General features: G+C 43.3%; 1 long non-coding RNA gene across 1 annotated transcript in view, besides 5 other annotated features; it reads left to right on the top strand.

Moving 5' to 3' along the window:
* Positions 23-953: an enhancer, noted in NCBI's record as "H3K27ac hESC enhancer chr10:21674728-21675658 (GRCh37/hg19 assembly coordinates)". NCBI's record gives its function as "activates a minimal SCP1, AML or CMV promoter by ChIP-STARR-seq in primed H9 embryonic stem cells {active_cell/tissue: H9 hESC(primed)}" and the evidence as "EXISTENCE:reporter gene assay evidence [ECO:0000049][PMID:30033119]".
* Positions 13,449-13,950: an enhancer, noted in NCBI's record as "H3K27ac hESC enhancer chr10:21661731-21662232 (GRCh37/hg19 assembly coordinates)". NCBI's record gives its function as "activates a minimal SCP1, AML or CMV promoter by ChIP-STARR-seq in naive H9 embryonic stem cells {active_cell/tissue: H9 hESC(naive)}" and the evidence as "EXISTENCE:reporter gene assay evidence [ECO:0000049][PMID:30033119]".
* Positions 13,518-13,812: an enhancer, noted in NCBI's record as "tiled region #12021; HepG2 Activating non-DNase unmatched - State 3:PromF, and K562 Activating DNase matched - State 4:PromP". NCBI's record gives its function as "activates a minimal TATA promoter and a strong SV40 promoter by Sharpr-MPRA in HepG2 and K562 cells {active_cell/tissue: HepG2 | K562}" and the evidence as "EXISTENCE:reporter gene assay evidence [ECO:0000049][PMID:27701403]".
* The window catches only part of LINC02643 (long intergenic non-protein coding RNA 2643), a 32,718-nt gene continuing 19,656 nt past the window's right edge, over positions 13,802-26,863 (top strand). The window contains exons 1-3 of the long non-coding RNA NR_155751.1: positions 13,802-13,857; positions 16,637-16,785; positions 18,197-18,255. This is a non-coding gene — a long non-coding RNA (long intergenic non-protein coding RNA 2643). The remainder of the gene's footprint in view (positions 13,858-16,636; positions 16,786-18,196; positions 18,256-26,863) is intronic.
* Positions 22,889-23,484: an enhancer, noted in NCBI's record as "H3K27ac hESC enhancer chr10:21652197-21652792 (GRCh37/hg19 assembly coordinates)". NCBI's record gives its function as "activates a minimal SCP1, AML or CMV promoter by ChIP-STARR-seq in naive H9 embryonic stem cells {active_cell/tissue: H9 hESC(naive)}" and the evidence as "EXISTENCE:reporter gene assay evidence [ECO:0000049][PMID:30033119]".
* Positions 23,485-24,082: an enhancer, noted in NCBI's record as "H3K27ac hESC enhancer chr10:21651599-21652196 (GRCh37/hg19 assembly coordinates)". NCBI's record gives its function as "activates a minimal SCP1, AML or CMV promoter by ChIP-STARR-seq in naive and primed H9 embryonic stem cells {active_cell/tissue: H9 hESC(naive and primed)}" and the evidence as "EXISTENCE:reporter gene assay evidence [ECO:0000049][PMID:30033119]".

The following is a 26,863-nucleotide window of genomic DNA, read 5'->3' as shown; positions in this document are numbered from 1 at the left end:
TATGACCCACAATCACACAAGGTAGGTCAAAAAATTTCTTTGTGGCCAGCTCCTACATGAAAAGCGGGATAGAGTTAGAGTAATATTTCTAGGTTTTATGTCTCACTTTGGGGAAAACGAGATCTAGTTTCTACGACTTGCCTTGGGGAAGAAGAATTCTAGTTTCTATGATTTGCTTTGAAGGAGAAAGAAGGGTGGGAGACAGGAAGATGGCAGAAGGTCAGAAAGACCTTGAAACCATCCCAACAGGGTTGACAAGGATTGCATACTAGATTACGGACAGAAACACAGTCATAATTAAGCACTCACCAGGCTGTGCTCTGATTCACTTCCTTGTTGCTAAAAATCACGTAGCACTAGTTACTGACTGTTTGCATCCCTGTTGTCCCTATAGACAGGATCTCTGACATTAGGGTCATAAGACTAAGCACTGATTTGTATCTTCATTGTTTCTAGTTCCTATAGACTGGATCTCTGACATTAGAATCATAAGCTTTTTGTTTTAGGATCACTTAAGATGTTTTTAGACCTGGAATTCCAGCAACCAGTTTGGAGACCCCTACAGGGGAATGAGATGAGTGTGACGATACAACTTCTTCATTTCCCTGTCCCGCGACTTCACCCTGCACTCTTCCACCAGTCAATGATCTCTATGCTTCAGCCCACTCCAAAACTCTTGAAAACTCTACCTCCAAACTCCTCAGGAGGACAGATTTGAGGTTTCCTCCTGTCTCCTAGTTCTATGACCCTACTATTAAATCTCTTTCTCTGCTGCAATCTGGTGTCTTGGTGTATTGATTTGCTTTGTGTATTGGGCAACAAACCTATCATGGTTACAGCCTTGATTCTGAGGCTGCTTCTGAGGCTTTCCAAACTTTTAGTTCAAAGTACTCAGCATGCCAAAACACTATACTTTGTGGATATCCTTTTCTGAGCCCCAAAAAGAGCTTTTGATCAGTGGTTGTTGAGAGAGTGTCTCTTTCACAGTGGGGCACAGAGGAGAACGCCATATACTTGCTTATTTTGGCAGAAAGAGAAACTTCCAGTCTGAGTTGGACTTGAAGAAATTTTCCTTTAGGCAAATTCCTGGATACTGTTATAAATTGATTTAACTTTAACTGCAGTCACTTAAGAGTTCTTCTGTTTCATCATTTTATGCTCATAATTTTTATAATCTTATTATAGTTTTTGAAGAGGAAGGGGCATTTAAAAAGACCACGTGAAATAAAAAATTGGGGGGAATTATCCAGCTAATTCAGGACAAAAATCATGTGCATTGCAATATAAGGCAACATTGAATATAATGCTACTTATATTTCCCCAATGACACCATTTGTTTTTTGCCAACTTGAATATACACTTTTAGAGATACAGAGGAAAATAGTGTAAGATCTACTCTTAATATTTAAATTTTTTTTTTTTTCAGATGAAGTCTCACTCTGTTGCCCAGGCTGGAGTGCTATGGTGTAATCTCGGCTCACTGCAACCTCCGCCTCTTGGGTTCAAGCGATTCTCCTGCCTCAGCCTCCTGAGTAGCTGGGATTACAGGCGCGTGCCACCATGGCCATTTAATTTTTATATTTTTAGTAGAGACAGGGTTTCATGTTGGCCAAGCTGGTCTCGAACTCCTGACCTCAGGCGATCCGCTCGCCTTGGCCTCCCAAAGTGCTGGGATTACAGGTGTGAACCATCGTGCCTGGCCAATATTTAATTATTAATTTAATTACATATGTACATTGTAATTAAAAAAATGTTTTTCTTTTCTTTTTAGAGAAGAGGTCTTGCTATATTGCTCAGGCTGGTCTTGAACTCCTGGGCTTAAGCAATCTGCCAGCCTCAGCCACCCAAAATGCTGGGATTACAGGTGTGAGCCTGCACCTGGCCTAAATTGTAATTTTTGATGTCAAATGTAAAATGCATTACTTTAAAAATATGAGATGACAACACTTTGGTAGGCTGAGGCGGGCAGATCACCTAAGGTCAGAAGTTTGAGACCAGCCTGGCCAACATGGTGAAACCCTGTGTCTACTAAAAATCAAAGAAATTTAGCCAAGTGTGGTGGTGCATGCTTGTAGTCCCAGGTACCTGGAAGGCTGAGGCAGGAGAATCACTTGAACCCGGGGGTAGAAGTTGCAGTGACTGGAGATCATGCCAGTGCATTCCAGCCTAGGTGACAGCGTGAGACTTCATCTCAAAAAGAAAAAAATATGGGATAGAAAAATTTTAATTCATACTCATACATACATCTTTGGCATCTGTTTCTTTCATCATTACCATGGTAGGGGAGAACAAAATAATATCTTTTCTTCTTGCATTGTAAGGTTCATTGCTGAAATCCCTATAACAAAAGACAGATTAACAAGAGAAAAGCATATAAATTTATTAATAGAAGTTTTATGTGACACAGGAGCCTTCACAAATGAAGAGCCAAAGAAACAGAGGAAACTTTTTTTTTTTTTTTTTGAGTTGGAGTCTCGCTCTGTCACCCAGGCTGGAGTGCAGTGGTGTGATCTCGACCCACCACAACCTCTGCCTCCCAGGTTCAAGCAATTCTCCTGCCTCAGCCTCCTGAGTAGCTGGGATTACAGGCATGTGCCACCACGCCCGGCTAATTTTTGTATTTTTAGTAGAGACAGGGTTTCACTATGTTGGCCAGGCTGGTCTCAAATTCCTGACCTCATGATCTGCCCACCTCGGCCTCCCGAAGTGCTGGGATTACAGGCGTGAGCCACCGCGCCCGGCCCAGAGGAAACTGTTTTTATGTCTAGGTTCAGTGAAGAGTGGACAGTCATAGGGAAGTATGGTTGGACAGAGGGGCTGTGATCTGATGATAGTAAATTGGCAGGAACTTAGCAAGCCTGTTCAGATTCTTCTTGGCCCTCCCTTGTCTCCCAGGATAAGGATGTTCCTTTCCTCCAGCAATAGGAAGGATTCCTCTGAAATGATGTTTTTATGACGTGTTCTAGGGGAGAAGGGCAAGAGGAAGGTGAGAGGAGGCTTCTTGCTTCTGCTGTTTTCTCCAGTGCCAACGTGTCATATTTTGGGGCAGCATGTTCTGAACTCCATCACCAGACTCACAGTTTTTCTGAACACTTTGTATTTGTGTTTAAATTATTTGAGATACAGCACTTTCTGAATCTATGAATGATGTGGTCACTGAAATTCTACCCCAAGTCACAAGTAGCCATTCATGTAATGTTAAGGCCAATGGGTTTTTTATTTCTCCTTATTGGCTTCCTGACTCATCTGTGCTCTTCACAGCCTAATTACATTTGGTGATTTTGGAAAGGCTTGATTAAAATGACACCCTGCACTTACAATTTTCATACCTCCAGATATGGTTAATGAATAACAATATGCCCTTTAAATAGTCAACTTCATTAGATTATAAGCATCCAAGCTAGTATTAAGTTAGGCTAATATGTCTTCCTCAAACCATATTTTGTAGTTCAAAATAAAATAATGGAGAGAGTACTTTACAGTATGAAAGACTTTGTAAGGACTAAAATATAAGATTTTCCCTCTTTTGGCCAGGCGCGGTGGCTCACACCTATAATCCCAGCACTTTGGGAGGCCGAGGTGGGAGGATCACCTGAGGTCAGGAATTCGAGACCCGCGTGACCAACATGGAGAAACCCCGTCTCTACTAAAAATCCAAAAAATAATTAACCAGGCCATGGTGGCGCATGCCTGTAATCCCAGCTACTCGGGAGGCTGAAGCAGGAGAATTGCTTGAACCTGGGAGGCAGAGGTTGCGGTGAGCCGAGATCGCACCATTGCACTCCAGCCTGGGCAACAAGAGCAAAACTCTGTCTCAAAAAAAAAAAAAAAAAAGGATTTTCTGGGGGTTGATTTTGGAAACACCCAGCACTGAATTTGAGCATAACAAGCATTTCCTCCTGGGTAATTTGAGGAATTCCCTGTAATCTAGATTGTTGTCTTCAATAATCAAGTCGTTAGATTGTTCTTTAGCTCTCAGCCTTACCTTAAGCAACCATTAACCAGCAAATATTTAATGTGCCAACTGTAATCCCAGTACTTTGGGAGGCCAAGGTGGGTGGATCACTTGAGGTCAGGAGTTCGAGATCAGCCTGGCCAATGCGGTGAAACCCCATCTCTACTAAAAATACAAAAATAAGCTGGGCATGGTGATGGGAGCCTGTAATCCCAGCTACTCAGGAGGCTGAGGCCGGATAATTGCTTGAGCCAGGGAGATGGAGGTTGCAGTGAGCTGAGATCATGCCACTACACTCCAGCCTGGGTGACAAAAAAAAAAAAAAAAAAAAAGTAAACTATTTAGTGAGTGATTTTTCAAAAAAGTATTTGTAACTTGATAAACATTGATAAACATTTGTAACCTGCAAAAGATGAATTTGAAACTAGTGAGAATTTGCACTCTCTAATTGTTGCCTCCCCTACCCATTCTTTCTCATTTTCCGAATCTTACCACTTCCTAACACTCATGTTACAAAAGATGTACTGGGCGTGGCGGCTCACGCCTGTAATCCCAGCACTTTGGGAGGCCGAGGAGGGTGGATCACGAGGTCAGGAGCTCAAGACCAGCCAATATGGTGAAAGCTTGTCTTTACTAAAACTACAAAAATTAGCCAGACGTGGGGCCGGGTGTAGTGGCTTACACCTGTAATCCCAGCACTTTGGGAGGCCGAGGCGGGCAGATCATGAGGTCAGGAGTTAGATACCAGCCTGGCCAACATAATGAAACCCTGTCTCTACTGAAAACAATACAAAAAATTAGCCGGGCGTGGTGGCAGGCACCTGTAATCCCAGCTACTCAGGAGGCTGAGGCAGGAGAATCGCTTGAACCCGGGAGGTGGTGGTTGCAGTGAGCGGAGATTGTGCCAGTGCCCTCCAGCCTGGGTGACAGTGCAAGACTCCTTCTCAAAAAAAAAAAGCAGAAAAAAAAATTAGCCAGATATGGTGGCCAGCTATTCAGGATGCTGAGGCAGGAGAATTGCTTGAACCTGGGTGGCAGAGGTTGCAGTGAGCCGAGATTGTGCCATTGCACTCCAGCCTGGGCAACAGAGTGAGACTCCGTCTCAAACACACACACAAACAAACAAAGATGTAACGAAATATAGGACTTAGTCCCTGAACTTTCATTCTGAGCTAAGTCCCATACTTCATTGATTCCAAGACTTACTCCCTCCCACCCCTTCCCCTATTTGAACTTCTCTGAAATCAAGATACATAGTTACAATTGATGGCATCTTACAATTCTGTTGGCCAGGTCATAGTTGTGATATGGTTACAGGAATCTGGTCATAGCTATTTTTATTGTTGTCACTTTAATTGCGTTATATGCATTTAATTGCCATTTACAGTATCTTCACAATATCACAGCATGATTTGGCATTGAAACAAAAAGCTATTGTATTTGTAGAAATGCATGGAAAAAATCCAGTGTGAGATGTAATGAAAATGTTTGATTAAATAAATCTAAAATTCCTCTTTTCATAAGTATAGAAAGATTCTAAGCAGTAAGAAAGCATTGTTGTCAGAGTTTAACTGGCATCATTTTTGTTTTTTTAGTGGTATATAACGGAGTATCTAAAAATCAGTGGCATCTTAGATTCAATGAAATATGGTAGTATTTGCATTGGATTGGAAAGTTGAATCTCATGTCCTTGGTAAAGTTCTTGCTGTGATGTGCTTAATGTCTTCCTAGCATCTAAGATCACATTTAAAGGAAATTATCTGCAATCTGTTTATTACACACTTTGTCCAAGTTCAGACTGCAGTTCTTCAATCATACTTTACTTCAAAGTATCACAGGGGGAATTGAAAATCTGGTGAACATGTTGCAATGACAGGAAGTATTAAAACCATAAAGGTGCAGGCAGATTTGAGACTATAGGAACACCATAGCTAAATACGGTCCATATTGCAGTGTCTTCTCAAAAAAGAAGTCTTTTATGGCTTCATAAGGAATTGTTTAGAGACTTAAAAATAAAATTTGGGCCTCTCACTTACTGATCGGATGCACATTTGTTGAAAAACTACTACATGGAGGACTCAGTGTTCATTCATACCTAATATTTAGTGAGCCTGCTCTGTGCTAGTTATTGTGCTGGGTTCTAAGTATAAATAGTAAAAGGCTAGCCACAGTCTTCCTGGACCTTATTTTCTATTGGGGAAGACAGGTCAATGTGAGCAGAAGATATTTCTAAGTTTTATAGATTGTGTAGTCCATTTGTGCTGCTGCAACAAAATACAGCACAGACTGGGTAATTTATAAACAACAGAAGTTTGTGTCTCACAGTTCTGGAGGCTGGGAAGTCCAGGATCAAGGCGCCAGCAAGGCTAGTGTCTGGTGAGGGCTGCTCTTTGCTTCCAATATGGTGCCTTGTTTCTGCATCCTCCAGAGGGGATGAACACTGTCCTTACATGGCAGAAAGGACTGAAGGGCAAGAGGTTGCTCCCTTTAACCTCAACCCCTTTTCTAAGGATGCTAATACCATTCATGAGGGAGAGCCCTCAAGACTTAATCACGTTGCAAAGACCACACCTCTTAGATGCACTGGGAATTAAGTTTCAGCATAAATTTTGGAGGGGACATCATCATCCAAACAATAGCATAAATATTTCACTTTAATGAGTCTGAAAGCCTTCTTTGACCACTGCCCTGTACAGTCAACCATGAATGAGGAGACTCAGTCAAGGTCCTGGCAGGAAACACATGGCACATCCAAACTGGGTATTTTGCAGAGTTTTAATTAAAGGGACTATTTACAAAGCTGCGGGCAGGACGTAGGAAAACCACAAGGATCATATAGTACCTGGGGAGCCAATAATAGACATGGCTAGTGGGGTACGGTGGGTTGGAATTGGGGTGAGGGAGTGGGATCCCCTCTGTTAGGCCTGAAGAGAACCTGAAGCCTCAGTAGAAAAAGAGGAAAAAATCATGGAAACCAAGGAAAGAAAGTTTTTCTTTCTTTTCTTTCTGTTTCTTTTTTTAATTTTAATTTTAATTTTAATTTTTATTTGAGGTAGGGTCTTGCTCTGTTTTCCAGGCTGGGGTGCAGTGGTGCAATCACAGCTCACTGCAGCTTCAACCTCTGGGGCTCAAGCAATCCTCCCACCTCAGCCTCTCAAGTAGCTAGAACTACAGGCATGGTCCAACATGCCTGGCTAATTTTAGAATATTTTATACCGACAGAATCTTGCTGTGTTGCCAGGGCTGATCTTGAACTCCTGGGCTCAAACAATCCTCTAGCTTCAGCCTCCCAAAGTGCTGGAATTACCGGCATGAGCTACTGCACCTGGCAAAAAAATTTTTCAAGTGTTTAGAGCACTTTGATGTGGTTGAGAAAGAGAGCTCTGGATTCAAATGGGCCAAGGTTTTGGGGTTTCAATTTTAGTTCTTCTACTTATTAGTCCGTTGAGACTACTGACTCTCCCCAGTATCTATTTTCATCTTTTTCCTTTTAGTAAAATCACATCCTGGAGTTTTTGCTGACCACGTAGTTCCTCAGCTACAGACTACCCTGCCCAGCTAACTCTGGACATGTGACCACATTTGGACCAGTGGGGTGTGGGCAGAGGTAACTTGTGCAATTTCTGGGTCATCTTGTTAATTCTCCCCACCATTGTTTTTGGAGACAGGATCCTGCTGTGTCACTCAAGGTGGGGTACAACAGTATGATCATAGCTCTCTGCAGCCTCAATCTCCTGGGCTCAAGCGATCCTTCTGCCTCAGCCTCCCAAGTAGTTAGGACTACAGGTATGTGCTACCATGCCTGGCTAATATTTTTGTAGAGATGGGGGTCTTGGTGTGTTTCCCAGGCTGGTCTCAAACTCCTGGCCTGAAGTGATCCTCCTGCCTTAGCCTCCCAAAATATGGGGATTACAGGTGTGAGCCACTGCTCCTGGCCTAATTCCTGCTTCTAGTTCTCTCTTGCCCTTTCTGCTGGCGGGACAGTGGGATTAATTGGAGCCTGTTTGGAAGCCACATGTTGAGGAAAGCAGATCCACCTCTCACACTTCTGGGCTATATGACAAATAAACCTCTATCTTATTTAAACCACTGTACACATGGGCTTTTTGTTATAGCAGCTTAGTTGACCCTTTATCTAATACATTGTATTACCTTGGATAAATTATACAATGTTGCTAAGGCTTAGCTTCGTCTCTGTCTCTCTCTCTCTCTCTTTTTTTTTGAGTCAGGATCTCACCCTGTTGCCCAGGCTGGAGAGCAATAGCATGATCACAGCTCACTGCAGCTTTAATCTCCTGAGCTCAAATGATCCTCTTGTCTCAGCCTCCTGAGTAGCTGGGACTACAGGCACACACTATCATACCCGGCTGATTTTTAGATTTGTAAAATAGAGACAGTGTCTCCCTATGTTGCCCAGGATGGTCTTGAACTCCTGGTCTCAAGTGATCCTCCACCTCGGCCTCCCAAAGTGCTGAGATTACAGGCATGAGCCACTGTGCCCAGCCCTTACTTTCTCATTTCTAAAAACACAGCCAGAAAAAGACTTCCTTAGTAGATTATTGTAAAGTTGAAAGGAGCCAACGTGTATAAAGCTCTTAATACCATTCTTGGCTTTCAGAAAATAATAAATATTAGTAATGCTTATTTTCCCTTATTACCACATTTTCTCTATACTATATATATGTGTGTGTATATATATATGTGTGTGTGTATATATATAATATATATATATATAAAATATATATATATAAAATAGTCTGTCCTATGGTTCAACTTTGGTTTACTTAACCATTCCCCTTTTGTTGGACATCTAGGCAGAATTCAGTCTTTCACTGCTATAAAAAAAAAGTTACAAAGAGGGGGCCGGGTGCTGTGGCTCATGCCTGTAATCTCAGCACCTTGGGAGGCGGAGGCGGGTGCATCACGAGGTCAAGAGATTGAGACCATCCTGGCCAATACGGGGAAACCTCGTCTCTACTAAAAATACAAAAATTAGCCGGGTGTGATGGCAGGCGCCTTTAATCCCAGCTACTCAGGAGGCTGAAGCAGGAGAATCGCTTGAACCTGGGAGGTGGAGGTTGCGGTGAGTCGAGATCGTGCCGCTGCACTCCAGCCTGGCAACAGAGCGAGACTCTGTTTCAAAAAAAAAAGTTACAAAGAACATTTTTGTGCTTAAACAATTTATCAATATTATATATCTTTAGGCTATAGTCCCAGAAACAGAATGATTAGGTCAAAGTGTATGTTCTTGATTTTGTATGTATGTGTCCTATTGTAGAATACAGTTTTCTGCATTTAACGTTTTGTTTAATTATGGTAAAACCTATGAAATATTATTAGTTAATTTATTACGTATGTTTCTTAAATGTTTAATAAAGTGTTTAACTTAATGTTTTAAGAAAGGTTGAACTAGTTCTCCAATTATGAAAAATTTTCTTTTCCTTTTTGAGACAGGGTCTTGCTCTGTCCTTCAGGCTGGAGTACAGTGGCGTGATCATAGCACACTGCAGCCTTGGCCTACGAGGTGCGAGTGATCCTCCTGCCTCAGTCTCCCGCGTAGCTGGGATCACAGATGCGTGCCACCAGGACTGGCTAAGTTTTTGCATTTTTTGTAGAGATGGAGTCTCACTATGTTGTCCATGATGTCCAGGGAGTCTCAGACTCCCTGGGCTCAAGCAATCCTCCTGCCTTGGCCTACCAAAGTGCTGGGATTACAGCCATGAGCCACCACACCCAGTCTGGGATCTTTCCTATTCTCCAAGTTTATTTTCTTTTTTCATACAGAGTCATAAACCAGAGACAGGATTCAAGCTGTTGCTTAGATAACGATTTACCGTGTGCCATCAGTTTTGTTCTGGGTATCCTCCTTAGGAAGAGTCTGGAATTTCTGAATTTTGTTTCCTAAACTCAGATTTCTAGACATTTCTCTACATTTTGAATGGAATTTCCCAAAACTGATCTCTACATGCACATCTGTTATTCACTTGCATATTAGTTAAATTTATATAGATGCTTGGGTAAAGATATCAGGAAGAAAGCAACAATTATACAATTAATTAATTTCTTGCACATCAGAATAGAATTTCTAGTTGGTAATGCCTAACCAACCCCTTAAGTTTATACATCCAGGTACCTTCTCAATGCTTCAAACTCAACCTACTCCAGACTCAAGAGCACTGAACTGAGAGCAAACGTCCCAGTCTGATATCTTTAGCTGAATGGCTTTAAGCAAGGCACATTACATCTCTGTGGCTCATTTTAAAAAAACAAACAAAAACAACAACAACAACAAAAAAACCCTAGATGAAATCCATGGTTCTTATACTCTTTCAGCAGCAGAAACTTTTTTCCCCATACAAACTACATATAAAAATGATAAAACAAGATTAGTCACTTAATTGGAGATAAAACATTTTCTATAATTTTAGTTCTGTGTTCTTTAATTACCATCATCATTAAAAATCATTTTGGACGGCCGGGCATGGTGGCTCGATGCCTGTAATCTCAGCACTTTGGGAGGCCAAGGTGGGCAAATCACCTGAGGTCGGGAGTTCGAGACCAGCCTGACCAACATGGAATAACCCTGTCTCTACTAAAAATACAAAATTAGCTGGGCATGGTGGCGCATGCCTGTAATCCCAGCTACTCAGGACGCTGAGGCAGGAGAATCGCTTGAACCTGGGAGGCAGAGGTTGCAGTGAGCCGAGATTGCGCCATTGCACTCCAGCCTGGGCAACAAGAGCGAAACTCTGTCTCAAAAAAAAAAAAAAAATCATTTTGGACAATATACGTTTTTGCAGCCCTCAGATGTTCTGGTGTCGTTCTGTTTTCTTACAGCTGCTAAATGGACATTTGATTATTGAGTCCTCTGCCCTAGGACTCTGCTCCAGGGAAGAACTGAGATGACAAATCTTTAGAGAGCCATCTCTTTCTGGAATCATATGGCTCGCAGCTCCTGTTTGTTGATGAAGACAATTGGGAGTGCTGGATTAAACACCACCCTCCCATTCAGGGGGTGTACACACAGAGAGATGTGGCTTTTTGCTCCCACGGTAGCCACGCTCTAAGCTGCCTTGTGGGGTAATTGGCTTGGTGGTGAGTTTAGGAGTGTAAAATGGTTTGCTTAATGGTTACTGTTGAGAGAGCACAAAGGATGGTGAAGGAAATGTAACTTACATTAAATTTTTTGTTAGTTCTTTGTCAGATATGTATATTGTAAACATTCTCTCCTAATGTTTGTCTTGCGTTTTTGTTTTCTTTTCTTCTTTTTGAGACAGCTCTGTTGCCCAGCCTGGAGTGCAGTCATGTGATCACGACTTACTGCAGCCTTGACCTCCTGGGCTCAATCAATCCTCCTGCCTCAGCCTCCCAAGTAGCTGGGACCACAGGCCCACACCACCACTCCTGGTTAATTTTTAAATTTTTTGTAGAGATGAGGTCTTGCTATGTTGCCCAGGCTGGTCTCAAACTCCAGGGCTCAAGCAATCCTCCCACCTGGGCCTCTCAAAGTGCTGGGATTACACATGTGAGCCACTGCATCTGGCCTTCATTTTCTTAATGGTGTCTTTTGCTGAGCAGAAGTTTCAATGCTGATGAAGCCATTTTAACTTTTTTTTCTCCTTTTATAGCAACTGCTTTCTCTGACCCACATAAGAAATGTTGGCCTTCTCCAAAGTCATCAGAACATTCTCCCATGTTTTCTTCCAGAAGCTTTGCAAGTGATCTTTGATGTTTAGGTCTATGATTCACCTCAAATCAATTTTTTTGTGTGTTTTGTGATCTGAGTAGAGGTTTATTTTTAAAGATATAAGTAGTTAGTTGTTACAGAACCTTTTATTGATATATGTATCTCTATTAAATTGTTTGTGCACCTTGGCTAAAAATTAGCTATACAGCGTGTCTACTTTTGGACTTAATACATTCTCTTAAATACCACTGTAGTAAAGTAATATAATTTTCCCAACAGTATTCTCCTTTTTCAAAATTGTTTCAGATTTTCTAAATTCTTTGTATTTGTATCTAAATTTTAGAATCATCTTACCAGTTTCTACAAAAATGCCTTCTGAGATTTTGATGGAGATTGCATTGAATCAACAGATCGATTTGTGAAGCACTGGCAATATGATAACAGTATTGAATCTTCTTTTTTTTTCTCATTTGTTTCTGATGAAATTACTGACCTTCAGTATTGAGTCTTCTAATCCATGAATATCGTATATTTATTGAGCTATTCTTTAGTTTTAGTTTCTCTCTTTTTTCTTTTTTTTGTTTTTTTTTTTGAGACAGGGTCTCACTCTGTCACCCAGGCTGGAGCGCAGAGGCATCATTATGGTTCACTGCAGCCTCAGTCTCCTGGGCTTAAGCTATCCTCCTGCCTCAGCCTCCTGAGTGGCTGCAACTACCTGCTTGAGCTCGGTTATGTATATACCACTTCCATTTGATAATGAATGCTGCTGTGCACGCCCCACTGTGTGGCTAGATGGGTCAGAAGGCACCCAGTTTATGTATGACAGGCAGTTCAGGTCGCATGGTGACTTGATGACCCATAATCAAACGTTCAGTTTCCACCAAAGCCCAGTAACAGGCCAAGAGCTGTCTCTAAAAATGAAGGTAGTTATCTGCAGAAGATGGCAGGGCCTTGCTCCAAAATCCTAGAGGCCTTCACTGTGATTCACCTATGGGGGCCTGCCAAAGGCTCTAAACAGCATCCCTATCTGCTATGTGACAAATCACTCAAAAATTTAGCAGTTTAAAACAATTTTTTATTTTATCTTTTTTTTTGTTTTTTTTGAGACAGGGTCTCACTCAGTCACCCAGCCTGAGTGCAATCACTGCTCACTGCAACCTCGAACTCCTGAGCTCAAATAATCCTCCCACTTCAGCATCCTGAGGAGCTAGGACTGCAGGCAGGCACCACCATGCCCAACTAGAGATGGAGTCTCACCATGTTGCCCAGGCTGGTCTCGAACTCCTGGACTCAAGTGATCCTCCCACCTTCGCCTCCCAAAGTGCTGGGATTACAGGCATGAGCCATCACATTTGGCCTTGTTTTCTTTTCTTTTTTTTTTTTTTTTTGAGATGGAGTTTCACTCTTGTTGCCCAGGCTGGAGTGCAATGGTGCAATATTGGCTCACTGCAACCTCCACCTCCTGGGTTCAAGCCATTCTCCTGCCTCAGCCTCCCAAGTAGCTGGGATTACAGGTATGCACCATCATGCCTGGCTAATTTTGTATTTTTAGTAGAGACAGTGTTTCACCATGTTGGTCAGACTGGTCTCGAAATCCTGACCTCAAATGATCCACTTGTCTCGGCCTCCCAAAGTACTGGGATTACAGGCATGGGCCACCATGCCTGGCCAATTTTACTTTTTAATCTCACTGTAATTGTGGGCCAGGGATTCAGGAGAGGCTTAGATGAGTGGCTCTTGCTCAGGATCTCTCACGTGACTGTACTCAGGATGTTGGTTAGGGCTGCAGTCATCTGAATGCTTAGCTGGGGCTGGGGGTCTGCTTCCAAGATGGCTCACTAGGGTGGTTTCTGGCAGGGCCTCCATTCCTTGCTGGGTGTTGGCAGGAAGCCTCTCTTCCTCACCATGCAGCTTGTGCTCTCATGTGGGCTAACTTCCCCCAGAGCAAGCAATCTCAGAGAGAGGGAGGAGGGAGCTGCAGCGCATTTTATGATCTGCCTTCCAGAGTCACACCCATCACTTTCACTTTATTCTGTGCATTAGAAGCCAAAAGCTAAGTCCAGCCCACACCCAAGGGGAGGGAAGTGAGGCTCCACCTCTTAAAGGGAGGATTCTCAAAAATGTGTGAGTATATTTAAAAATCACCGCAGCTTTTTAATATTGTCCCAACAAGGCTGTGCAAGAAACAATCAGGAAAGCTCAGCAGCATAAAACTGTAAGTGTTTATAGTTCATGCATCTGAGAGTTGCCTGGGCAACTCCCCTGACCTCAGCAGGGGTCGTTCACACCTTTGAGGATGGCTTTATTTAAGCAAGGACAACCTGCTTACATCAGGTGGGATAACTTCTGATACAGATTTAATTTTGGTTTGAGGTTTATGTCACCAGTATAATTACTATTTTAAATAATATATTACTAGAAACACATGAACAAACTTGTTTCTAGACATGCTAAAAATGTATTGAAAGCCCCATTTCATTCAGAATGAAATAATAATTTCACATGTGACTTGTAAAATCAATTGTCTCCATATTTACAATTTACCTTTGAGGTGATGATACTGGTGTTGTTATGTTTGTTGTTTTATGTGATTAACTTACAAATATCATCCAATTTTCTTTTCCACTCTATTTTACAAATAATCTGAATATATTCATTGACGTATATATATATTTGTTGTGTTTTGTTTTGTTTTTTAGAAGCAGTCTTGCTCTGTTGTCCAGGTTGGAGTGCAGTGGCACGATCTCGGCTCACTGCAACCTCTGCCTCCTGGGTTTAAGTGATCCTCCTGCCTCAGTCCCCCTGGTAGCTGGGGTTACAGGCATGTGCCACCGTGCCTGGCTAATTTTTGTATTTTTAGTAGAGACCAGGTTTTGCCGTTTTGGCCAGGCTGGTCTTGAACTCCTGACCTCAGGTGATCCACCCACCTCATTCTCCCAAAGTGCTATGGCTTAATAAATAAAATATTCTTTTTTTGAAGTAGAAATAATATTGTTTTTGTATTGCATTCAATTTTTTATGTATGCCTGTTTCATTTCATCAGTTTTAATCTTTGTGTTTTCATCTACAGTTTTAAAAATAGTTACAAAAATGCATTTTCTGGTATATTTGTATGTGTATTTAAAATTTACTGAGTTATCAGAAGAATGGTTTTGTTTTTCTAAATTGTCTGGCTTCATTACAGTAAGCATGAAAGATTTACATTTTATTCAATTTAAAAATGCTGAGAAAATGCTATGTTGCTTTGTTTTTTTAATTAACAGTTGAATCAAATTTGACATGCAAAATATCACACCTATATTTGAAGAATTGCCATACATCACTATTTTTCCCTTTTTCCCTCCCTTCCTTCCTTTCCTTTTTTTTCTGAGGCAGAGTCTCGCTCTCTGTTGCCCAGGCTGGAGTGCAGTGGCACGATTTCGGCTCACTGCAACCTCCACCTCCCGGGTTCAAGCAGTTCTCTGCCTCAGCCTCTCAAGTAGCTGGAATTACAGGCACCTGCCAACATGCCCGGCTAATTTTTGTATTTTGAGTAGAGACGGGGTTTCACCATTTTGGCCAGGCTGGTCCTGAACTCCTGACCTTGTGATCCACCCGCCTCGGCCTCCCAGAGTGCTGGGATTACAGGCGTGAGCCACCGCGTCCGGCTCTTCTTTCTTTTCTCTCTTTCTCTTTCTTTTTTTTTTTTCTCTTTCTCTGTTCTCTGTCTCTCTCTCTTTCTTTCTTTCTCTCTTTCTCTCTCCTTCCTTCCTTCCTTCGTTCCTTCCTTCCTTCCTTCCTTCCTTCCTTCCTTCCTTCCTTCCTTCCTTCCTTCCTTCCTCTCTCTCTCTCTCTCTTTCTCTCTTTCTCTCTTTCTTTCTTTCTTTACAGAGCCTTCCTCTGTCACCCAGGCTGGAGTACAGTGGTGCAATCATAACTAACTATAACCTTGAACTCCTGGGCTCAAGGGATGCTCCCACCTTAGCCTCCCAAGTAGCTGGGACCATAGGCATGCACCACCACACCTGGCTAATTTTTTAATTTTTAGTAGAGATGAGGTCTTGCTATGTTGCCTAGGATGGTTTTGAACTCCTGGGCTCAAGCGATGCTCCCACTTGGCCTCCCAAAGTTTTGCAATTATAGTTGTGAGCCACTGCACCCAGCTGATCTAATACTCTTTTCTTTTCTTTTTTGAGACAGAGTCTCGCTCTGTCGCCCAAGCTGGAGTGCAGTGGCGCAATCTCGGCTCACTGCAAGCTCCGCCTCCCGGGTTCACGCCATTCTTCTGCCTCAGCCTCCCGAGTAGCTGGGACTACAGGCGACCGCCACCACGGCCGGCTAATTTTTTGTATTTTTTTTTAGTAGACACAGGGTTTCACCGTGTTGGCCAGGATGGTCTCGATCTCCTGACCTCATGATCCGCCCACCTCAGCCTCCCAAAGTGCTGGGATTACAGGCGTGAGCCACTGCGCCTGGCGGATCTAATACTCTTTAATCCCGTGTAAGTGACACATGAGATATCCTGCAGCTGTACAATCAGATCACTCATGTTAAAAAGGGAGTTCTCAGCCAGGCACGGTGGCTCACGCCTGTAATCCCAGTACTTTGGGAGGCTGAGGCGGGCAGATCACCTGAGGTCAGGAGTTCGAGACCAGCCTGTCCAACATGGTGAAACCCCGTCTGTACTAAAAATACAAAAATTAGCCGGGCATGGTGGCAGGTGCCTGTGATTCCAGCTACTCTGGAGGCTGAGGCAGGAGCATGGCTTGAACCTGGGAGGCGGAGGTTGCAGTGAGCTGAGATCACACCACTGCACTCCAGCGTGAGTGATACAGTGAGACTCCATCTCAAACAAACAACAACAACAAAATAAATAAATATAAAGGGAGTTTTTTCCAGGGGAGGGGGCAGTGATGGGCTATTCTTCAGAAGCAGGAACTTCCTTCATATCTTAAAGCTCATGAATGAACAAGGGGATCATAAAGCATCAGAAATTGAAGCTTCTTATTTTGCAGATGAGAAAACTGGGTCTGAGAATCCAGATGTCCTGAGTGAGTAAAGGGAAAATTTTCACTTCTTCCTATGGAAGCCTGTCACCCCCCAACTCCATCCTAGGCTGAGGAAGTCTGCGTTCTTCTCTCACGGAGCTGGAGAACCTTTCAAGGTCAGAAAGGAAATAGTTAAGTTATGAAACAATCTGAGAGTGGAACTGGGATGGTGTGAATGCCTTGCTAGAAAGCATTAAAAACAGGCTGGTTGGCCAGAAATAGAGAAGGGCCTCCTGCTCTGAGTGACAGTTTAGATAAGATTTGTGCTTCTCCAACTATCTCTGGTGAAGAAAAATATTTAAAAATTCCCAGTCCATTGCAAACAGATACATTGTAAAATGGAGTAAAAATGAATGATCAGAAAATTAATTTATAAAGTAAAGACATACGGAACACAAGTCTAAGTTATTTTTTATTATTAGATTCAGCAGACATAAACTTAATCTACTAGACTGTCATAAATGTTTCTAAATGTGTATTCTCAATTTCTGGACTTATTTTGTTGTGGTTCAGTAACAAATAGCTTATAGACTGGCCCTGAATGAAGGCGACTTCTTATAGTTCTAACTTTCTGTGTTTTTACTTGAAGCCCAAACAGCTGTGCCTTGAATTTATAGAGGAATTCTTCATCTATACGTTAATTAAACACATGCATCATTTAATTAACCAAATGTTTAGTTAAAGCCTATCATGTATGGGTTAAATGCATGCTATATAGGAAGTTGCATTAGAAATGGTCCCTTTTCTCTATACCAGACAGTGTAGCGAGGGAGCTAACAGCCACATATCTATGATGTGGGAGAGAAGGTGATGGCTGCCAGGAGAGCGCTGTGGGGGAGTTGCTGGGGAATCTGGAGCAAGGAGGCTTCACTGATCTCTGGAGGAGTCAGGCAGACTCTGTGGAGGACGTGGCCTTGAAGGCTACACATAGGAAAATGCAGGCCAGGGCACGTCATGGGTGGAATGAGTAAGTCTCAAAACCTTGACATACTTCTTTCTCTTTCATGTCAAAAACATCTTTGAAAGGTACAGCAATATTAGGAAGCCCTATATACAGGAAAATTGAAGCACAAAGAAGCAATTGTGGCAAACAGCAGGTCCTTGAACAGGTCCATTGGCCTATTTAAGTCTCAGTTTTAGTATCCGTGAAATGGGCCTAATAACATCTACCTTTTGAGTTGTTCAGAGGGCTAGATGTATATACATTGCTTTATAAAGGTAATTATATTTACATTACAAAGTACTGGCGCGTTCTCTGATAATAGTAAGAGCTCAACAAGTCGTGACAATTATTATGTTGTTACTAGATAGTTGGTCCAGAGTCATTTGTTTCGCAGGGGAGGGGAGGAGGGGTTCTGCTCGGGATTCGTTTCCTCCATCCTTTTAGCAACTGCACTTCTCTTTCTCTTGGGGAAACTGTCACTCTCTTGACTATGCCATTCTCATGGGTCTGCCTGTTTGCTGGCCACAGGGAGAACCTGTGATCCAGATCTGGCCAATCACAGTGTCTCGTTCCCTTCACCACAGTGATTGGCCTAAGAACAGGCAGGAGACGCGATCTGGACCAATCAGAAACTTACATTGAGGTATGTATATGTGCGTGTTGGGAGAAAAAAATTACTTTATTTTTCCTTCCAGTTTGCAAAGCTGGGCTAAGAGCAGAGTTTGTCACAACCAAACCTAGAGCTGGAGAAAAGGGGAAGTGGAGAGGCAACCGAAAATACCATGAGGTCTCTGAATCTACACCTCTTCTTTCTAGTTATTGGAATCAATGCATTCCAGCTTTTTGCTTCAACCAGAATGAGTTTTGTATCCCTGGTAACCCTGCCTAATGCAAGGACTCACTCAGATTTCCAGATTCTTATCTTAGTGTGTTGTCCTTTAGGTCAGCACTTTTCAAGAGCCATTGCCATCATTTATTCATTCGTCAAAATTATTTTGGACAGATTCCGGGGTGAAGCGGTCATGCTAAGAGAATAACAAACAAGCATGTGGCCAGTGTTATGAGGGCTTCAGATCCAGTCAGGGGTGCAAAATGAGAAAAAGCTAATCAAGAAAATAAAACAGCTGGGCGCAGTGGCTCACACCTGTAATCCCAGCACTTTGGGAGGCCGAGGCAGGCAGATTGCTTGAGCCCATGAGCTCGAGACTAGTCTGGGCAATATGGTGAAACTCTGTCTCTACAAAATAACACACACAAATTAGCCAGGCATTGGCCGGGCGTAATCGCTCATGCCTGTAATCCCAGCACTTTGGGAGGCTGAGGCAGGCAGATCAACTGAGGTCAGGAGTTCAAGAACAGCCTGACCGACCTGATGAAAACCCATCTCTACTAAAAATACAAAATTAGCTGGGTATGGTGGTACATGCCTGTAATCCCAGCTACTTGGGAGGCTGAGGCAGGAGAATTGCTTGAATTTGGGAGGTGGAGATTGCAGTGAGCCAAGATTGCGCCACCGCACTGCAGCCTGAGCGACAAGAGCGAAACTCCGTCTCAAAAAAAAAAAAAAAAATTAGCCAGGCATGGTGGTATGCACCTGTAGTCCTAGCTTCTAGGGAGGCTGAGGTGGGAAAATCACTTGAGCCTGGGCGGCCTAGGCTGCAGAGAACCATGAGCATGCCATTGCACTCCAGCCTGGGCATAGAGCGAGACCCCGTCTAAAAAAAATTAATTAATTAAAAAGAAAAAGCTAATGATGACAGATACCAACTGAGTTGAAGTGCTATGAGAGTTCAGAAAAGAGAGAGGGCTCATGCTTTTGGGGACTATCAGGGAAGCCTTTGAAGAGGAAGCAGGAATTTGAATTGGGCATTGAAGGACAGTTCAGATAAGTGTTTTTCTAGAGAGTGTGGTGGTAGGTGCAAAGATATCTAGGGCAAAGAGTTGATGAGGCACAGTAATGGGAGGTAAGAGTGAAGGTGAGATGGGGCTTTATGTACTCTTTGAAAATAGTTTCATAGGCTGGGTATGGTGGCTCACGCCTGTAATCCCAGCACTTTGGGAGGCTGACGTGGGCAGATCACCGAAGGTCAGGAGTTTGAGACCAGCGTGGCCAACATGGCAAAACCCGTCTCTATTAAAAATACAAGAAATTAGCTGGGTGTGGTGGCAGGCACCTGTAATCCCAGCTATTTGGGAGGCTGAGGCAGAAGAATTGCTTGAACCTGGGAGGCAGAGGTTGCAGTGAGCTGAGATCACGCCACTGCACTCCAGCCTGGGAGACAAGAGCGAAACTCTGTCTCAAAAAAAAAAAAAAGAAAATAGTGTCATAGAAGCTTAAAACATATTCAAACATAGAGAGAATAGTATAATGAATCACCAGCAGACATTGGCCAATTGCAATAGTTATCAATAAAACAATATCATTCTTGTTTTATCTACTCAACTGATCCTTCCTCATCATCCTCCCCACCCTCCCACTGAAATATTTTGAAACAAATCCCAGACATCCTATCATTTTACCCTGAAATACTTAATTATTATTGTTGTTATTATTATTATTTATTATTTTTTTTTGAGACAGAGTTTTACTCTTGTTGCCCAGGCTGGAGTGCAACGGTGCCATCTTGGCTCACTGCAACCTCCACCTCCCGGGTTCAAGCAATTCTGCCTCAGCCTCCCAAGTAGCTGGGATTACAGGCATGCACCACCATGCCCGGCTAATTTTGTATTTTTAGTGGAGATGGGGTTTCTCCATGTTGGTCAGGCTGGTCTGGAACTTCCGACCTCAAGTGATCTGCCTGCCTCGGCCTCCCAAAGTGCTGGAATTACAGGGGTGAGCCATCGTGTCTGGTTTTATTATTATTGTTGTTTGATACAGGTTCTTGCTCTGTCACCCAGGCTGGAGTGCAGTGACGTGATCATGACTCACTGTAGCTTTGAACTTCTGGGCTGAAGTGATCCTCCCACCTCTGTCTCCTAGATAGTTGGGACCATGGGCATGCACCACCATGCCTGGTTAATTTTTTATTTTTTTGTAGAGATAAGGTATCACTACATTGTCCCGGCTGGTCTAGAACCCCTGGGTTCAAGCAAGCTGCCTGCCTCGGTCTCCCAATGTGCTGGGATTACAGGCATGAGGCACTGTGCCCGGCCACATACTTAATTATTATTATTATTTTTAAATTAATTAATTTTTTTTTAGACGGAGTCTTGCTCTGTCGCCCAGGCTGGAGTGCAGTGGCGCGATCTCGGCTCACTGCAAGCTCCACCTCCCAGGTTCAGGCCATTCTCCTGCCTCAGCCTCCCAAGTACCTGGTACTACAGATGCCTGCAACCACGCCCGGCTAATTTTTTGTATTTTTAGCAGAGACGAGGTTTCACTGTGTTAGCCAGGATGGTCTCGATCTCCTGACCTCATGATCTGCCCGCCTTGGCCTCCCAAAGTGCTGGGATTACAGGCGTGAGCCACGGTGCCCGGCCTATTAGTAGTATTTTTTTAGATGGAGTTTCGCTCTTGTTGCCCAGGCTGGAGTGCAATGGCGTGATCTCGGCTCACTGTGACCTCCACCTCCCAGGTTCAAGTGATTCTCCTGCCTCAGCCTCCCGAGTAGCTGGAATTACAGGCTACAACCACCACACCCTGCTAATTTTTGTACTTCTAGTAGAGACGGGGTTTCGCCATGTTGACCAGGCTGGTCTTGAACCCCTAACCTCAGATTATCTGCCTGCCTCAGCCTCCCAAATTGCTGGGATTACAGGGGTGGGCCACTGCTCCCGGCCTGAAGTACTTAATTACTATCTTTAAAAGGCAAAGGACTCTTCTCCCAATATAAGCCCAATAATATTATCATCCCTAAAAATCCCCCAATAATTTCTTAACATTACCTAATTCTCAGTGTATGTTCCATTTTCTCCAATTGTCTCACAAATATCTTTGCGCAGATGGTTTGTTTGAATCTGGATCTAAAGACAGTACACACATGTAGTTGGTTATGTCTCCTGAGTCTCTTGCTACCTACAATAATTCTTACTATCCCATTTTAGAACTCTGTATTTGGTAAAGGAAGCTGATCATTTGTCCTGTGGAATTTTCCACATCCTGGATTTGGCTGATTGCGTTATCATGGTGTTGTTCAACAATGCTCCTAGGCTCCTTCTATTCCTGTAAACTGGTGATAATGAGGCCTGGAGGCTTGATGAGATTCTGATTCAGTTATTATTGTTATTACTTTTTTGGTGATGCAGCGGACTTTCCCATGCACCTCGTCAAGAGACACATAATGTCTGGCTTTCTACTTCCAGTGATGTCAAAGTTGATCAGTGAATTTTAGTAAAAACTGCTGTTGTAGTTTTTTAGACCCCTCTCTAAGATTCTGACATGAGTCCATGGGGGCTGGGCTAGTGAACAAATCTAATTCACAGATCCGGCTGCACTCAGAATCACCCTTCCTCTGGGACCAGGGAGTCATTGTTACTGGGCCAAGCTGACGTCTGACCTTTGAGAGCTTCCCTTGGGTGGCAGAATTTCCCAGGAAGCTATTCAGGCCCTAAGGCAAATAGGATTCCTGCTGGCCTGTCCCACCGGTCTGCCAGGCGAGCTTGAATCTTTGAATGAAGTGAGGATTCCAAAGAGATTTGTCAGAATGTGTGATACTAGATTTCTTTAGCAAGAATGCTTGTCACTTTGCTACTTTCCAGTGGAAAAAATTTCCACTGATTGTGTCTAAAAATGCAAAAGAAAATGGAGAAGCAAGGTAATTTCACACGAAAATAGTCAGCAATGGAAACTTACTATTAAACAACACAGGAGGACTTTTACTTTACGGTCTTGAATTATACAACTTGCCCTTTGAACTGGATAATTTGATTATGTAGTCAGTTCCCTTGGGCAATTCAGGTTTGTGCCCTAGATTATTACGACTCCCCTCACCCCCGATATATGAAGATAATTGTGTGAGCTTCAGACTGACAACCTCTAGCAGAATTTGGGTTGCAGTCGGTTTTAAATGTAGGGAAATTGTTTTATGTAGATGGCTTGATGAATATGGTAATTTAGTTTTTAATTCATTTGACTCAGTTGAGAAAAAGATTTCAGCTTCGGAAATTAATAAACTCATACATGTTTGTGTCTTTTATATATGATTTTGAGGTCCTTTGCCTCACATACTGTGCTGTGCTTTTTTTTTTTTTTATTCCCTCTTAATGTCTTGTGCTTTGGGTTGCTTCATTTCTGTGTCTGCCCTGGGGCTTGTTCTGTGTCAGGTAACATGCTGACCTTCTTCCTGGCTTGATTTCCACATTCAGGAAGGCTTCTTTTTTTGCCCAAAACATTTGTTTTGTTCACAGATGGTATTATAAGGTTTAGAGAAATGTCATGGAGTATTTCACATAGTTTTGCGCATCGTTTTATAAAGTGAGTTTCTCAGATTTATGTATCCATCTTGGCCTTCTTTCTTTTTCTCTCTCCCTCCCTGAAAGCTGAACTAGACTGAGAGCCACTCGGGGGAACTTTGTTTTATATACATGGTTGTTTCCCAGTTCCAAGCTCAGTGCCTGGCCCATGGCAGGTGTCCAGTGAATATTATGGGAGGAGTTAATGAGTAAAAATGAACTTTGAGAATTTTCTTCTCTCTTTCTACCCTCGAATTCCCCAAACAGGGCACCCTTGTTTATACTGGGTTTTAGGAAACTAAATATCAATGACAGCCCACTCCTTTTGCTTAGAAAGATTTAGAGACTTCTTTTTGTTAGGTAAATGCTCAGCTAGATTCAAATCACTAACTCCAATTTATAGGTTAAGTTAGAATCAGGATGGAACATTTTGGCTCAGGGCCATGGCTATGAAAAAATTTCCAAGGCCAAAGTCACAGACAGTGTCACTGTATTCACTTCCTGTGGCTTCTGTAACAAATTACTACAACTGAGTCGTTTACAACAGAAACTTATCCCCTCATAGATCTGGAGGCTGGAAGTCCAAAATCAGTGTTACTGGGCTGAAATCAAGGTACGGGCAGGGCTGCACTCCCTTCAGAGGCTCTAGGGGAGGAACCTTGCCTTTCCAGCTTCTGGTGGCCTCTGGCTGTGCCTCATCAATCATATTTTGAAAGTGGGTAGACAGAAAAGAATATAAAATTTTAAGTTAGAAGCCAGGCGCAGTGGCACATGCCTGTAATCCCAACACTTTGGGAAGCTGAGGCGGGCAGATCACTTGAGGCCGGGAGTTCAAGACCAGCCTGACCAACATGGCGAAACCCCGTCTCTACTAAAAATATAAAAAATTAGCTGGGCATGGTGGTGCATGCCTGTGGTCCCAGCTACTTGGGAAGCTGAGGTGGGTGTATTGCTTGAACTGGGGTGGTGGAGGTTGCAGTGAGCTGATTTGACACCACTGTACTCCAGTCTGGGTAACAAAGCAAACGTCTGTCTCCAAAAGAAAAAAAATAAAAATTGAGTTAGAAACATGCCGTTTAAAATGTGTATTTGGGCCTGGTGCAGTGGCTCATGCCTATAATCCCAGAATTTTGGGAAGCTGAGGTGGGAGGATTGCTTGAGGCCAGGACTTTGAGACCAGCTTGGACAACATAGTGAGACCTCCATCTCTACCACAAAAAAAAAAAAAAAAAATTAGCCAGGCATGGTGGTATGCACCTGTAGTCCCAGCTACTGGGAGGCTGGGGTGGGAGGATCCCAACCCAGGAGACTGAGGCTGCAGTGAGTTATAATTGCAGCACTGTACTGCAGCCTGGGTGACAGTGAGATGCTATCTCTAAAAAAAAAAAATAAATAAATAAAGGCTCTTTGTAGCATAAATTGCAACTATGGACTAGCAGCCAGCCTCCCCTCCTTTCTTTTGGTGTGTACACCCCTCTCCCTGAGGTTTAGCAGGTAGAGGCTAGAGTTCCCAGGTAGAGGCTACAGTGCTCAGCCTCTTTTTTACAAACAGTTGAGGCTATCTAAGTTCTTACCACTGGGTTGTGAGTTGAAGTGAGGTGTGCAACTTCCACATCATTTTCTTAAAGAGAAATTGCTCACCTTTGACTTCCTCCCCCTTTCCCCTCCTTTGGGAAGGAATGCAGATGCTATGGTGAGCCAGTCTGACCATTCAGGCAAGGATCCCTCCCTACCAGGTGGTGGAACAATGAGAATGAGGACCTCCTGGAGCAGAGTGGCCTCACCACCCTGTACCCCACTGCGCTCACCTCTGGAAATGACACCAGAATGAACTTCTGTATAGTTTATTTATTTATTTACTCATTTATTTATTTTGAGACAGGGTCTCTCTCTGTCACCCAGGCTGGAGTGCAGTGGTGCATTCATAGCTCACTGTAGCCTCAAACTCCTGGGCTCAAGCGATCCTTCCGCTTCAGCCTCTTGAGTAGCTAGGACTACAGGCATGCACCACCACACCAGGCTAATTTTTTTTTTTTTTTTTTTTTGAGACAGAGTTTCGCTCTTCTTGCCCAGGCTGTAGTGCAATGTTGGGATCTCGGCTCACTGCAACCTCTGCCTCCTGGGTTCAAGCGATTCTCCTGCCTCAGCCTTCCAAGTAGCTGGGATTACAGGCATGCACCACCACACCTGGCTAATTTTGTGTTTTTAGTATAGATGGGGTTTCACCACGCTGGTCAGGCTGGTCTCGAACTCCTGATCTCAGGTGATCCACCCGCGTTGGCCTCCTAAAGTGCTAGGATTACAGGCATCAGCCACTGCACGCAGCCCTTCTGTAGGGGTCATCATTTTGGGGTCCCTTTCTTATAGCAGTGATATGGTTTGGATGTGTCCCCACCCAAATCTCATCTTGAATTGTAATCCCTATTTGTCGGGGGAAGGATCTGGTAGGAGGTGATTGGATCTTGGGGCCGGTTTTCCCCATGCTGTTCTCCTGATAGTGAGTGAGTTCTCATGAGATCTGATGGTTTTGTAAGTGGAGGTTTCCCCTGCTCTCCTTCCTCCTGTCGCCTTGTGAGGAAGGTATCTGCTTCCCCTCCTACCGTGATTGTAAGTTTCCTGAGGCCTCCCCGGCCATGTGGAACTGTGAGTCCATTAAACCTCCTTTGTTTACGAATTACCCAATCTCGGATAGTAACTTTATAGCAGTGTGAGAGTGGACTAATACAAGCAGTTCAGTTTATACCTGTACCAATATACAGATGACACCAGGAAAGAAGCAGATTTCTTGGTTTTAACTACTACTGTTTGTCTATTTAGTAAGGCATGTTGGACAACAGATACTAATATTACTTTGCATTGCTGCTGTTTCTGCCTTTTTTGTTTTTTCTTAGACAGAGTTTCGCTCAGTCACCCAGGCAAGAGTGCAATGGCATGATCTCGGCTCACTGCAGCCTCTGCTTCTTGGGTTCAAGCGATTCTCCTGCCTCAGCCTCCCCAGTAACTGGGATTACAGGTGTAAGACACCACACCTCACTAATTTTTGGATTTTAGTAGAGATGGGGTTTCACCATGTTGGCCCGGCTGGTCTTGAATTCCTGACCTTAGGTGGTCCACCCACCTTGGCCCCCCAAAGTGCTGGGATTACAGGTGTGAGCCACTATGCCCAGCCACTGTTAATTTTTTAAAAAGAATTCTTTTCCTACACACTCCAAAAGAAAATAGTTACCCCAAGCAGTGCCCTTGTAAGCTGATTATTTTGTCTCTTCTATGCTGAATTCACTTAGCCTGCTTAGAAGACTCTGGTTTACTCTGAGCTGCTAGAGTGAAACTTTCATTAGTTAGTATGAATGCATCACCACTATGTGTCTATCCTGCAATAGCTTGCAGGGGACTACTTAATAGTCTTCATAAGAAATGCTGAATTAATGTCTCCAAAGTGTGTGTTTAAGTTTATAAAAATAACCTCTGGGACATCAGCTAAAGAGAATCTCTCCTAAATCCTGTGAAAAACAAGTTATTCTTTTTTCTTTTATAATATAAAAAAGATTAGCTGAGCCCAGTGCTTTATGCCTGTAATCCCAGCACTTTGGGAGGCTGAGGCAGGCAGATCACTTGAGGCCAGGAGTTTGAGACCAGCCTGGCCAACATGGTGAAATCCTGTCCCTACCAAAAAATAAAAAAATTAGCCAGGTGTGGTGGTGCACACCTGTGGTCCCAGCTACTTAGGAGGCTGAGGTGGGTGGATTGCTTGAACCAAGGTGGTGGAGGTTGCAGTGAGCCAAGATCGTGCCTCTGCACTCCAGCTTAGGCAACAGAGTGAGACCCTGTTTCAAAAATTATAAATGAATAAATAAATAAAT

The sequence above is a fragment of the Homo sapiens genome, chromosome 10 (assembly GCF_000001405.40).
Source record: "Homo sapiens chromosome 10, GRCh38.p14 Primary Assembly".
NCBI classification, from domain to species: Eukaryota; Metazoa; Chordata; class Mammalia; order Primates; family Hominidae; genus Homo; species Homo sapiens.
Note: the sequence above shows the minus strand (reverse complement) of the source record. Positions and strands in the feature narration are given on the sequence as shown.